The sequence below is a fragment of the Homo sapiens genome, chromosome 6 (genome assembly GCF_000001405.40).
Source record: "Homo sapiens chromosome 6, GRCh38.p14 Primary Assembly".
In the NCBI taxonomy this organism is placed as follows: domain Eukaryota; kingdom Metazoa; phylum Chordata; class Mammalia; order Primates; family Hominidae; genus Homo; species Homo sapiens.
This window is the reverse complement of record NC_000006.12, coordinates 46,617,273-46,632,358: the sequence shown is the minus strand read 5'-3', so window position 1 is coordinate 46,632,358 and position 15,086 is coordinate 46,617,273. Positions and strand designations below refer to the sequence as shown.

The 15,086-nt window shown below is 35.8% G+C and overlaps 1 protein-coding gene across 11 annotated transcripts in view; it reads left to right on the top strand.

The window, feature by feature from the left end:
* Positions 1 to 15,086, top strand: part of CYP39A1 (cytochrome P450 family 39 subfamily A member 1) — a 103,239-nt gene that overhangs the window by 20,460 nt on the left and 67,693 nt on the right. For 8 of the 11 annotated variants that reach the window (NM_001278739.2, NM_001278738.2, NM_016593.5 and 5 more), the window contains 2 exons: positions 1,289 to 1,396; positions 6,851 to 6,941. In NM_001278739.2, the coding sequence (NP_001265668.1) occupies positions 1,289 to 1,396; positions 6,851 to 6,941 (199 nt within the window). The remainder of the gene's footprint in view (positions 1 to 1,288; positions 1,397 to 6,850; positions 6,942 to 15,086) is intronic. The other 3 variants (XM_017010924.2, XM_017010923.2, XM_047418859.1) reach the window with 1 other exon arrangement.

The following is a 15,086-nucleotide window of genomic DNA, read 5'->3' as shown; positions in this document are numbered from 1 at the left end:
AAAGACCATCACAGCCTACACAATAATACTTCTACAGGAACACCTATCTAGCACCTGGCCTGTCCAATATTGTTATTGATCTTTGTAGACAAGAATAATGATTGCACAACAATTATGTAATCCTTCTCATTTTTTCCTTTAAAAATTGTTGTCTTCCTTTAACTCTCTGAATACGCACATAGTTTACTATTGCATGCATTTTCCCATTGCCATGCTCTATTCTCAAGTAAACATCTTTTCTTAAAAATAAAAAAAAAAGATAGTAGTATCTGCATCTTGGAGTTATAGTGAGGAGTGAAATGGGTTAAATACTTGCAATACACTTAAAACAGTACTTGCCCTTAGCAAGCAGTGAGTTGATATTAGCTCCCATTATTTCTATCACCTAGACATAAGTTATTTAAGATTAAAAGTAGATGAGTAACTTAATGAAAATGTTACAGTGTCTGAATTTTTTCCCATGATGGAGAGCCGTCACTGGCAAAGACAAATCTGGGGAAACCGCCCGATGAAGAAAATACTTTAGTGGGATTTGTTTGGTGACTTGAGAACAACATGTCTTGAGATGGGTAGCCTTGGATGGGGCCCTGCCCTGAGCTGTCACTGTTCAAGTCAAATGTCCGTTCTCTGTATGGTTTTAGAGTATTGTGGTATTTGTAATATTCTGGCTTGGCAGTTCTGTCTCCCATGGTGAATGGGCTGAGAATCTGTATGGTGGATGGGGGTGTAGTTTTCTCCTGAATGCACCAGAGATGTGTGTTTCTCTATTGCTTGCATTTTGCTAAGAGCAGAGGTTTATAAGACAGGGATTCCAGAGCAGTGTGGAGGGCAGAGATAATAACACACAATTTGCCAATTCAGTTTGGTAAAGTAGAGATCCAAAGTGCATTTTACCCTCTGAAAGGTTTTATTTTAAGCACTTTTTAGGTACTAACTCATTTAATTCTCACAACAATCCTACGAGGTAGGTACCATATTATGAACATTTTATGGATGAGGACACAGAGGCACAGAGAGATTAAAGTAGCTTGTTCAAGGTCATCCAGCTCTTAAATAGCTGAGCCAGGATTTGAACAAATGCAGTGAGGCGGTCAAGCTCCAGAATCCCTACTCCTAATTACTATACTACAGTAAGGACATAAATCCCTTCACATGCCTCAAACTGCAAAACCTGGGAATGGCAGAAATGATATCTTTCATATTAAAGAAAAAGGCATGATCTCTTGTTTATTAACATCGATATTTGTCACATAGCCATGGTTTGGCAATGTTTATTTCTTTTAAACAGACATTATTGCAAGCTACGCTGGATATTGTAGAGACGGAAACAAGTAAGGAAAACTCACCCAATTATGGGCTCTTACTGCTTTGGGCTTCTCTGTCTAATGCTGTTCCTGTAAGTATATTAGTAAAGTATGAGTTACGTTGCTCTCCACTGTCCTTTCATCTTTTTTTCCTTCATTTCTGTCTTCCATTCTTTTTTCCACTCATCACTCATTATGGAAAAGAAAAAAACTACAGTGGATTTGGTTGTGAGATAAAAACCAAAACTGAATGCCTAATGAAATCTGATTAGGTTACAAAGGAGACGAAACAGATCTCAAGCAAATTCTGTCCTCTGAAAGGCAGTGTGTAACAGGATGAGGGAAAAGCTTGCCCTTTGGGGCCAGTTGTAGACAACATCTGTTTATGGAACACTTTTTGTATGTCTACCAATGTGCTCAGTATTGGTATTGAAAAGATGAATAGGGATTGGCCACATGCTTTTATTGGAAAGAGTAAGTAAATGGATAGTTTCAGGTAACTTGGGCTTGGATCCAGACATCCCAATTTGTAGTTGTAGACTGTCATGGTGGTAATTTAAATTTTCTGTGCCTCCATTTCCTAATAAGAGATAATGTACTATTTTACCTAATAAGGGTAAAAAAAGGGATAATGTATGTGAACCTCCCACTGTGGTCTTAGAACTTGGGTGCTCAATAAATGGTAATTCTCATTTCTCTACAAAGTTGTTATGAGGATTTAATAAGATAAGCCTAGCTGGTATCAATGAATATTAGCTCTTTCTCTCCATTTGTACCCATTCTCCTTCTGTGTGCCATTCCTGTTTGCATTGCTTAGCATTATGGTCCTACAAGCTTCCGCATGAATGGTGCTGGTGAAATTGGAACTTTCAACACTTCTAAAGAGAGGCAAGACTTAAAAAACTGTTTTTTGTGGGTTTTTTTGTTGTTGTTGTTGTTTTGTTTTGTTTTGTTTTTTTGAGATGGTGTCTCATTCTATCACCCAGGCTGGAGTGCAATGGCGTGATCTCGGCTCACTGCAACCTCTGCTTCCCGGGTTCAAGCGATTCCCCTGCCTCAGCCTCCTGAGCAGCTGGGATTACATGCGTGAGCTACTGGGCCCGGCTAAAAAACTGTTTCTTTTAAAATCTGTCTTGCATTAGATTAGAGCCATGAGATTTGTCTGTCACGTCATGTTCAGTGCCAACAGTTTCCTGGGCCAGGAGGTTCTCACATTAGCCTAAGATGCTACTTATATTATCTGAAATTAAAGGGTAACTTTTTAAATATACTTGTTTTCTACTAAACAGGAGGATTTAACCTATCCATGATGATATGTGTGGGCATTTTTCTTCCTTTTTCTTCTAACAGATAGAAATTAGGAAGATGTTTTAAGTATTATTTATTTAGCCTTACTTTTATAAAGGCCTAGGTTGTTAAAGGCTTTCTCAGTCATGATATTCTAGTTTCCCTTAACTTGTTGAAAAATTTACTGCATAAAGAGAAGGGATAGAAATTCTGGCCTCTTTTCTCAAAGGTATGTTAGCCAGTGGAATATACATTTCATCTGATATGGTCAAGTAAAAGTAGTCTAAACCCTTCCCCTTCTTTATGTACCTATAATATTCTTCTCTGGTTTTTCCTTAAATAATATTCTTGGAAACTGATTAAGCTATAGCAAAATTGAGAAACAAACATCAAAACAACTCTCAAAGTAGCAACAAAACAGGCACTCCTGTCAAAGAATTATTTTTCAATATCTTGTTAGAAACATCCCCCGGAAGAAAGACACACAAAGCCCCATTGATCTGACACAGGGGAAGTCGGTTCTTTGGAATTTGTTCTTGGCGCTGGTCTGAAAGGATTTAAATCATTCATTTCAGAAAGAAAGTGTCTGATGATTAGAGAATATTCCATCTCACTGGCTCTTGTTGGCACCTCCAAGAGGCAGCCTGGTGAGCAGGCAGAGATCCTGGAGAGGCTTTAGAGTCAGATCCAAAGCCAATTGCCAGCACTGGGTAACAGTGGGCCAATTGTTTAACCTGCCCAAGCCTCAGTGCCCTTATCTGTAAAATGGGATTAATGCTATACCTACCTTAAAGGGTTGTTGTAAGGATTATTTTGGTAAGAAATAGATTGTGGCTAATAGCACCTGGTTCAGCATAGGTCTTCAATAAATGCTAGTTTTCTTCCCTTACAAAAATTATCTCCCTAGTTTCAGTCAATCATTATTTTCAATGGCCCGTTAATACTGAACATAGGCTTCCAAATATTTGATGGCTCAAAGGCCCCAGAGTGGGAATATCCACTGCTATTCTGCTTTAGTGACCTTTATTGCTGCTGAGAATACCAGAAGCCCTACCAGAGGTGTAGGTGGTGGGGCCTGTCTTTTCCTGGAGCCCAGAGTATATCTATATCTCCTCTCTCCTACTTTGTACTCTGCCTCAAGGCCCATAGGACTCAGAGCTCAGGCTTCAGATGGGTTAGGCACTGGGTCACTAGGAGGCTCCATTGTGGCCCAAGATATTAACTATAATTTATGAAATTATTTTTATGGGAAAACCATTTCTAAGTTCCAAGAAATTTCTGACTGCCAAATGATTTTTTTAGAAGATTTCTCCAAACCAATCACAAAGCTGACATTTTACCTTTTTTATCTGCTGCATCTCTTACATTCTTTCTAAATACTTTCAGTAGCAATTGCTACCCCATCCCACTCTCAACTCCCACAGTATTTATTTTTTGTAACATGTGTTTGCTCTCTCACTGTCTTGTACATTTCGTTCATTTTTCTCCAATATGTATTCATATGCCCAACTAAATGTGAAAATACTTTGGACAGGAATTATCTCCCAACATATTTGTGTTTACCATGATCGGTAGAAGACTCTCTGGCATGGTATGAAGACTCCATCAAAATCTCTTTTTGAATAGATAAATCAGTACCAAAGAACACACTCAATTCATCTTCTCTTTGACACAGCAAAGATACAGAGTTTTCCTCCTTGCCCTTTCTCTCATTTGTTCTTACCTCTCCAAAACAATGGAATGACATTATGGTGGCTGCTTCTGCAGTTCAGTGAGCTGAGTGGCCCTTCTTCTTCTTGCCCATCTCTGACCTTGGACTTGAACTGTTTTACAAAATACTAATTGGTACTGTTGGGAGCAGTTTTCAACCCCTTTCCCAAATGTGGGTGCACAAAGACCTCAAAGTCACTTATTCTTGCTTATTGATGTAGTAATACATATAAACTTTTATTAACTATTTTATATGCCTTTTTATCTTTTAAAAATACTTTGGCTTTTTTAAAAATAGAAAAAATTTTAAAAACTGTAATCTGTTAAGGAAAAAGGAGACATTAAAAAAAAGTGGCTCACGCCTGTAATACCAGCACTTCGGGAGGCTGAGGCGGGCGGATCACAAGGTCAGGAGATCGAGATCATCCTAGCTAACACGGTGAAACCCTGTCTCTACTAAAAATACAAAAAATTAGCCATGCGTGGTGGCAGGTGTTTGTAGTCCCAGCTACTCGGAAGGCTGAGGCAGAAGAATGGTGTGAACCCAGGAGGCGGAGCTTGCAGTGAGCCGAGATTGCGCCACTGCACTCCAGCCTAGGCAACAGAGCGAGACTCTGTCTCAAAAAAAAAAAAAATAAATAAATAAAAGTAACAGCCATTTGTAGTTTAGCTAAATTGCTTATGTTTGTCATTTAAAAAGTAGTATCCAATTTTATTGAATCTCTAAAGCTATATTTAGGCACATACAACTATGAACATCCGTTTTGCGTAACTGAAAATCTAAGTAATATGGCTTGGCTCTGTGTACCCACCCGCATCTCATCTTGAATTGTAATCCCCACATGTAAAGGGAGGGACCTGGTGGGAGGTGATTGGATAATGGGGACAGTTTTCCCCAGGCTGTCCTTGTGATAGTGAGTGAGTTCTCATAATATCTGATGCTTTAAAAGTGTTTGGCCATTTTCCCCACCCCCTTCTTCTGCCACCGTGTAAGATGTGCCTTGCTTCCCATTTGCCTTCTGCCATGATTGTAAGTTTCCTGAGGCCTCCCCACCCATGCAGAACTGTGAGTCAGTTGAACCTCTTTTGTTTATAAATTACCCAGTCTCAGGGAATTCTTTATAAAGAAGTGTGAAAACAGACTAATACATTATGTCTTATCACTATTTTTTTCCCCAACATGAACTCTGACTCTTCAAGTAAGATGAAGTGAGTATGGAGTAGTTATTAATTGAATTCAGTAATTTAGCACTTTTATCTGTAGTTAATAGTAGAAAGGGGGCCTGAGTAGAGACAGGACAAGATAGTTCTCTGAGCATCTGTTTCATCATCTGTAAAAATGAACTAGAAAATCTCTAGGATAAATCTTTCTTAATCTGGATAACACTCCTGAAAGAAAGCCTCTAAATTGAGGACCCTTGGTTCCCCTATTCACATCGTTTATGTAAACAGTACCATATTTATCCTTGCACTATCAATTTAAAGTTAGAAAGGGAAAAATAATGAACAGTATTGAATTTGGCTTATTTGAGCACTTCTTTTCGGACAATTGCTCTTCCTCTTTTGACCACAGAGGGGAGTATTGGTATTATTTAAAGGTACATAATGTTACCTCACAAAAGAGACAGACTAAATTTAGTCAAAATATTGCATGAATCATTTCAGGACCAATTCTCCTAGATGAAATCTCTTTCATAATAAATGTATTTAGAAAAAAATGAAAGTGAAACCCACACTTCTTTGGATGATTTTATACAGGTTTTCTTTATTACGTAACCTAAGAATAGAAGCAAAACTATTTACCTGAGGAGGAAGTTAATTTTTAAGATGTAAAGCAGTATGATTTTATCTTGTAATACCACAACGAGGAAAGATATGAAATAAGTTTGAGTGGCCAAGAGAGAAAATGTGCAAATATACTATATTCAATAGCATTCAAGTGTGAAAGGACTCAAAAATTTTTTTTCTTTTATTTACTAATTCAGAGCCAAAAAAAGCCAAAAAAAAGGACTTTGTTTTTGACATTGAGTACTCTCATAATTTAGTTTACGGGATGGTTTCCTGCTGCATTTTCCTGGGCTTATTTAAAACTACTGTGTTTCAGTTGCAGAATATAAAATGTGCTAATTCACTTGTATTCTAAGGAAATTAAATCTTAAGAAATGTTTTTGTTTTGGATTAATATTCTTAAGTGTCATAACTAGTTGCTTCTGAAAATTTAATATATGCCTATATAATATTTTGTGTTACTCATTAGTAAAAATAACAACTTTTCTCATTTTTAGTGAAGATAGATGTTTAATCTATTTAAATTATATAGTTAAATTATAGTGACAAAATAAAAATTTAAATCTGGCTTCTTGGAGATATATTACATATCTCTTATTAATAATATCTAGTTGTTTTCAAAATATGCTTTCTACTAATGTGCTCTTAAGGTTAATTTAAACATCATCCTTTTTAAAAAATATATGTATGGCTAATACTAAATATGCTTTTGTTCACCTTCAAAGAAGTTCATATTTTTGATATATGTTTTTCTTTTTAAGGTTGCATTTTGGACACTTGCATACGTCCTTTCTCATCCTGATATCCACAAGGCCATTATGGAAGGCATATCTTCTGTGTTTGGCAAAGCAGGTACTAAACCTTATTATATAGGAAGACACAGCTAATAATGCATGTTTGTCACACATTATTGGCAAAGCTAAATACCTATAATTTTATAAAAATTCAACATAATCCAAAATTCAACATAATTTGTTATATATCAGGATATAAATTGATCAGGTAGAATCCTAGAGTTTAATTACTGTCAAGCATATTTTTGTGCAACTCCTTCATTTTCCAAATGATGAAATCAGTGCTATAGAGATTGTGATTTGCCTAATTTCCTTACTTAAATATATATACACCTGTTTGTTCTTCTAATGTCTTGGATCCTCACCTCAATTGAATGAATGTCCACAGTTTTCAAGTTCAGGATTTTTCAGATTTTATAAAAGTAATAAGGGTATATTCCATATATTACATAAGAGCCCTAATAGGACTGTAGAGGTCAGGTAAGGCTTGCTACCAAAGGATTATTAAAAGACAACAAACAAAAAACAAGTAAACAAAAAGAAATAAAAAAACCCTTATGGTTGTTAGAAATTTGAGGATTTAGGAGCTGCAAATAGGGATTGTTGCCTTGAACTCTTTAGTTCAGATGTCAGCTGTTTATTTATCATCTCTTTTAAAAAGCAAATACAAGCTTGAATAGAGAGTACTCAACTACTTGTTTATTCAGCATAATTTGACCAATCTGGGGAGTTGACTTTTTTAAACTTCTTAATATGTCGTATTATGTATCCTGATATAAAAAGAATAAGAAATGATAGGGTTTTCTTGGAAGAAAACAATATAATATTAGGGCAAAAGGTATGATGCCAGTTAATGGTTTTCCCTCTCCCTTCCATGATTACTGAAAATATTTTATTTAAAGTTTTTTTTTTTGGATTGCTTCTTATGGAGTTAAACCAAAAAGTAAACTGGCTTGGCAACCATGAATATCTAAGTAATATTGTCTGAGCCTTGAGTATGCGTCAGCAGATGCTGGACCTTATAGAAATGGTGAGCATCATTATCATTGAATGCCAACAATGCTAACAGGTTAGATTCTGGAAAGACACTGGTGAATATAAGAGAAGACAACTGGCCTTTGTGCAGCTTGCATCTACAAAACAAATAGAAAGGCACATGCCCACATGTCTACAAATGGAAAAAGGCAATGCACTCTTGATTGTCACATATTCTCCTTTATCATTTCCTTACTAGAGTCTTTTCCTGACTTAGGGTACTCCAAATTTGTGGCTTTAGGAAATAAAAGAGTAGAGAGGGGATGATGGGGATAACGTGGGGGGTCCTCTCTGACCCAAAGGCCACAACAGAAGTGTAACATTAATCTAAATTTCTACAAGGCTTGATTCTAGAACTCTTGAACCCAGTTCTAGTGGAGAAAGATTAAAACCTTTTTGCTTTTTCTATGTTATTGTTTATTTTTAAAACCCATTGTTCTCTTCTGACACAAAAAATGCTCCTTCGAATAGTACTACCACTGCAACAGCTACATTATATGGATGCTTTCAGTCTATAAGACACTACTGCAGAATTGAAAACTATTTATGAAAGACATCAAACTTTTTTTTTAACCATACTTATACAGAAGCTATTCAATAATCCATACATAAGATCTAGTAGCAGCTCAGGAATTTAAATGTTGTGAGAGGAGTCCACAGATCTTTGGAAGCTGATATCAAGGAAGATATCCATGTGTCCATACAAAGGATTCTGTCAAGGAAGGAACATTTAAGTACATTCGATTAGTCAGGATTCTCCAGAGAAATGGAACCAATTAGGATGTAAATAGATACATAGATAAAGAGAGAGAGAAAACTCAAAAGACATTTATTATAAAAAATTGGCTGACCTGACTATGGAGGCTGAGGAGTCCCATGATGTGCTGTTGATGCAGGCTCTCAGTGGATTGGATGGTGCACACTTACATTAGGGAGGGAAGCCTACTTTACTGAGCCCACGAATTCAAATACTCATCTGTCATCCAGAAACACCCTCACAGACACACCCAGAATAATGGTTAAACTGAATACCCCATGGCCAGTCAAGTTAACATATAGAATTAACCATCATCTAGGCATCATCTAATCTGTTGAGTTTTGTTTCTCTGGAGAACCCTGAGTAAATTTACCCACCCACATATAGGAGGGCAGTCTGCCCTACTCAGTCTACTGATTGAAATGCTAATATCAACTAGTAATACCCTCACAGACACACCCAGAAATAATGTTTAGTCAAATATCTGGGCACCCCCGATCCAGTCAAGTTACATGTACAAATTATCATCACAGGCATGGAACAGGAATCTGACTCAGCACAGCAGTTTTTCTGTTCTATGCTCTTGTCTCCCGCAAGATCACCATTTCCTTCTTGGGAAAGTCTTTTATGAATTTCCAATGCTGTATCTCTGTGGCTTCAACACTCACTTCTAGGCACTTTGCCCAACTTTCTTATAAAACAAATCTCAGGGTAAAAACTACTATTGAATACTTGCGAAAGGAAAGGGTCAGACTCATACCACTTTTCTAAAGGCAGTTAGTTCTTGAACTATCTTGATAGCTGCCTTTCAGCCTACTCTTGTGTTCTCTATTTGTTTACTTTAAAATGAAAGCTTTTTGGGGCTCCTTTGTGAAGATGCTTGCTTAGCCCCAATTATTTTGGGTGGTGCTTTTCATTATTCTACTTCCTCTAACTAATCCTGTACACCTTCTATCTAAGTCTTTATTATCTAAGTCTTTATTATCTTCCTAAGTCTTCATTATCTGCTTCTTCCTTTTCTTGTTTTACAGCTGTGTTTTTATTTTTTAATTGCACACTTTTTAATTTACTTTTTAGCAACAGGGTCTCACTTTGTCACCTGGAGTACAGTGGAATGATCATAGCTCACTACAGCCTCGAGCTCCTGGGCTCAAGTGATCCTCCTGCCACAGCCTCCTGAGTAGCTAGGACCACAAGTGTGTGCCAGCATATTGGGCTTCATTTTTTTTAATGGGACATTGGGGCAGAGGAAGGTAGAAGTGCGTTCTCAGGTTGTCATCTTGAGCTATAAGTTTGTGTGCATGTAACATGCATCAACTTATAAATAAAATTATATATATATAATCATAGATAATTAACATACCATAAAATTTATCCTTTCAAAGTGTGAAATGTAGTAGTTTTTAGTATATTTATAAGATTGCAACCATCAACACTGTCTAGTCCCAGAACATTTTTATCACCTTCAAAATAAATCCCATACCCATTAGGAGTCACTTTCTGTTTCCTTCTATTTCTAGCTTCTGACGACCATTAATTTACTTATTGTCCTGACACATTTGCCTTTTGTGGACAGTCCATATAAATGGAAACATATGATATGTGGTCCTTTGTGTCTGGCTCCTTTCGTCTAGTGTACAGTTTTATATTATAATGTTTTACATTAATTGATTTTCAGGTCTTGAAGCATCCATGCATTTCTGGAATAAATCCTGCTTAATCCTCATGTATAATTTTCTTTATATGTTGCTAGATTCAGTTTGCTAGTATTTTTTGAAGTATTTTTTTTGAAGAATCTATGTTAATAAGGAATATTGACTTATAATTTTCTTTTCTTAAAATAACTTTGTCTGGTTTTGGTATCAAGATAATTCTGGCTTTAGAGAGTGTATTTCTTCCTCTTCTAATTTTTGAAAGAGGTTATGAAAGATTGATATTATTTCTTCTTTAAACATATGGTAGAATTCACCAATGAAGTGATCTGGTCCTAAGATTTTCTTTTTGAGAAGTTTTTTGATTAATTCAGTCTTTCTACTTGTTACTGGTCTATTTAGATTATCTATTTCTTCTTGAGTCAGTTTTATACTTTATGTCTTTTTAGGACTATGTCCATTTCATCTAGATTATCTAATTTGTTGGTATAAAATTTTTCATAGTGTTCCACACAATCCATTTTATTTCTGTAAGGGCACTGGAAAACCAAATATTTCATTCCTGATTTTAGTTTGGGTCCTGTTTTACCTTCTGGGTCATTGTAGCTACATATTTGTCAATTTTGTTTTCAAAGAACTCACTTTTTAATTTTGTTTATTTTAACTTGATTTTATTTTTCCTAGTGATTTTTGTATTTAATTTAATTTTGTTCTAATCTTTACAATTTCTCTATTTAGTTCTTTAGAAAAGATTTCCTTAGTTCTTTGAACATAATGAAAATATCTGATTTAAAATCTTTATTAAGTCCAGCAACAGTTTCTTCAGGGACGCTTTCTGTTGATTCCTTTTTTTCCTCTGTGAATAATCTATTCAGACAGTCTTCTACTTATAGTGGTTCAACTCTTGATTTTTTAACTTTATGATTGTGTGAAAGTGATACACATTCAACACTGTATTTTCTTATTTCATGTCTTATTTCATGTTTCTTATTATATGCCTTATAATTCTTTGTTGAAAACTGGACATTTTAAATAATAGAATGTAACAACTTTGGAAATTAGATTCTTCCCTTTCCTCAGGGTTTGTTGTTGTTGCTGTTTATTGTTCTTGTTGTTTGTTTGATTGTTTAGTTATTTTCCTTAACTAATTCTGTAATGTTTGCATTCTTTGTCATGGGTGGCCACAGAAGTCTCTGCTCCATTATTTAGTGATCAGGTATTAACTAGACAGATATTTCTTTACCTCAGTAATTTAGAAGTCCCCATTCTTTGCTAAGGGACTGTGTGTGCATGTTGGCCATGCCTTCAACACTCAGCCAAGCAGTTGACAACTCTGCCTTAGCTTTCGCTTTCTACCTGTGCCAGAGCCTCAAGGATGGGTGTACATGACAGCTTGTGGCCTTCTCATGTCTTTCCTGAACATGAGTAAAGCCCTGGGCAAATGGATGCCCTTCTAAATTCCTGGGAATTCATTAGACCTCTGCAAAGCCACTATGAACAACTCATTCCCTAGCCTTTCATTTTCATCTTGTTGGTTTGCCTGTTGTTTGTCCAACAGTTACCTACTGACTCAGATAGTTGCAAAGTTAAACAGTTGTCTTTAAATATTTTAAACCAACACCCCTGGAGGAAAGGCTTTTCATACTGAGTGAGCTCCAAGTCATGTCAAATAAAGACAGTCTTGCAAGTAAGGTCTTCTAGGAAACTGCCAAACTTGTCGCATAATGAGAATACTGTAGTACTGAGGTTTAGAAGAAGTTCCAACCTTGTTGTGCCCTATCTAGTGACTGTGGGTTGTTGATTTTCACTGTGAATGCAGACTTCTGGCTTTTAAGGCTTCTATGGAGATATAAAGAGGGGTTTGAGAATAGGGCAGGTTAAAATGATGTTAAGCTTGATGTTCTTATCAAGATTCAACTGTTTTTTTCTTGAATAGACATTCTTGAATTGCTGCAAAACTTTGGTTAATCTGTAGAATTCTAAAAACTTGATACTTAGAATTTTTACCAAATTTCTTATTGCTTTTAAGGAGGGAACTTTAGGAGATCCTTGCTCTGCTATTTTTACTGACATCACCCTGAAATATAAGTTTTAAAATTTCTTTGGAAAACCTCCCAGGCTTATGTGGATTAACCCTTAATTCATCCATTATTTTACTTGGCCCTCAAACTTATTTTTTGAGTGCTCACCATGTGAAGGCATTGTGTGAAGTACCAGAGCTATGAAGATGAGTAAAGTAACAGTCCATGTTCTTGCAGAAACTTATGAACTAAGTGCTTTTTATAAAAATTGAAGACAGGTTTGGAAGTATCCAGAAGATATTAGGAGAGAAAAAGGAATATTTACATTGTTTCTTTGGAGACATGTACCTACTGGTAAATTCAGTAAGATTCCTGTGCCTGGAACTCTTTCTCTTACTAATCTTTCAGTCAGCTTGAATGTCTCCTCTTCAGATAGATATTTTAGTCTTACCCCATCTAAAGTCACTTTCCCCAACTCTGCCCTTGGTGATTCTCTGACTTGTCTTACTCTATATTTCCTTAAAAGTAAGACAAGTTAGAGAATCACTAACTTTTAAAAATATTTTTTATTTGTGTATTTATGTATTTACCCCACCAAAATGCAACGTCTCCAACAACAGAAACTAAACATAGTTGGTCTTTGTAGTACCTAGCTGCCTAGAACTTAAAAATTATTCAACAACTATTTACTGAATGAGTTTAATGAACAAATGTAAGAATATATGGCTAGTTTTAAGAGATAAGTATCTTGGTCTAGCCTCTGTTTGCAGCTCTATCAACCATCCCATTTGACATTTTATATGAAACGAATGTTTTATATAAAGACTTTTTGACAGTTTTCTGCACTGAATTTTGAGTTAGCAGAACCCTATTGTATGATGGTCAGTCAGTTGGGAGCCACAAAAGGAGCTAGATCCTTTATTAGGATTTCCACAGGAAAGGCAGAGAAGGGACAAGTCAACAGTTTAGCATTAGCTAGTTTGAATAATCCCCAGGGGCTCTAAACTGTAGAGTGGTTTCTAGTGGCCTGATATCTGGCCCTGAGATGATTAAGGCAGAGGAATATTGCTTCTTGGGTTATCTGGGCCAGATAGAAGGGTGTAGTTCTAGATTGGTTGATTTGCATGTCAAAGGTATGCTCCAGGCTGAGTTCTGTGCCAACTGGAAGAACTAGCTTGCCCCGAGAGGGAGAGGAGCAATCTCTCCCCAGCCAGGAAGGTTTTCTGTTTCTTTTAAAGATGTTATACATTTAAGAAATATTATTTTAAAAAAATTTACACACCCACACAAATCATTATATACAGAAAATTAAAAAAAAATACGTAATACACCTAGTCCCAGCCAATATCTTATCAGTACTTTGAGACACTGAGTAATTTCAAGCCCAGTAATCCGTATGAATGGTAAATAATGTTAACTTTTCTCTAGGTTTTTGATCTCTGTAAAGCATTTTTTTTGCCTATGGTTTTATTTTGTTCCTTAATTTTGGGTGAAACATATATTACCAAATCATTGATGATCTGATAAAGAATATTTTTGCTTTGTTATCAAATTTTGGGGTATAATTCCTAGAAATTAGTCTTTTTGTTTTAAATTTTAATTGATAAGTTACTACACATTATTTCAATTGCCTGTCATAACCTCATAATGTAGTGTGGACACTAGGGTCAGACTGCCTGAGTTGAAATCCAGGTGGAGACACTTATTAATGGTGTATCTTTACTCAAGTTATCAAGTTCTTTAAGCCTTTTTCCTCTTTGGGAAGATGGTTAATAATAATCCTCATCTCGTGAAGTTATTAGAAGGATATAACACATGTAAATTAGATAGATAGCGTAGTACCTGGCAAATCGTAATTGCTTTGTAAGTCTTAGCTATGGCCAAAACTGATACAACTATATCAGTTATATGAAATTTTATAATCCTCCCACATCATGAAATTAGTAACTGTTGTAACTTTGAGTTTTTCTACTTCCAAATATTAGTCAGTGTTGTTTTTTGAAATAAGATAGTTTTGTTGAATGTTTATAGTCAGAAATGAATTACTTTCATATGAATTGGCTGTACTTTTGGTGGTGTCAAAATGCAGCAGAAATATAGCATGAGACTATTTATGTCTAATATTGCCCTACAAGATAGGAGTAGTAGAAACAGTAATAGTTAATAGTCAGCGCTAATTAAGTAGCAGGCCCTATTTTAAGTGCTTTCCTTGTTGGCTTATTTAATCCTTGGATCATCCTTCCTAAACATTATTGTTTGCCCTATTTTATGCACGAGGAATGTGAAATCCCAATTAGATAACTTACCTAAGACCATACAGCTAGCAAGTGGTAGGGGTGTGAGTTGAGCCTAGTTTGTTTGGCATGAAAGTTGACAATACAAATCAGCAAATCTCCTTGTTTCAAAATTGTACTTAGAATCCCTGAATTATGATGCTTCAATCCAATTTCCAGCTTTATTCTGTTCCAAGTTGCTTCCACTTTAATCTTCCTAAAGCATAGCTCTGGAGGTATGCTATATGTATACTCAGAAAATGTTCCTGGAGTAACATTCATACCCCTGAGCCTGATACCTGTGGCCATGATGGTAGGTTTGACCCACTTTTGCATGCAGAATCACAATCTAACCAAGGTAGACTTTGGAATACCCACTAAAAACACTCTGCATTTTGTTTCTGCTATGTATTAACATTTATAACACTGAATATGATTTAATTCTAATATAGTTATAAAACTTTA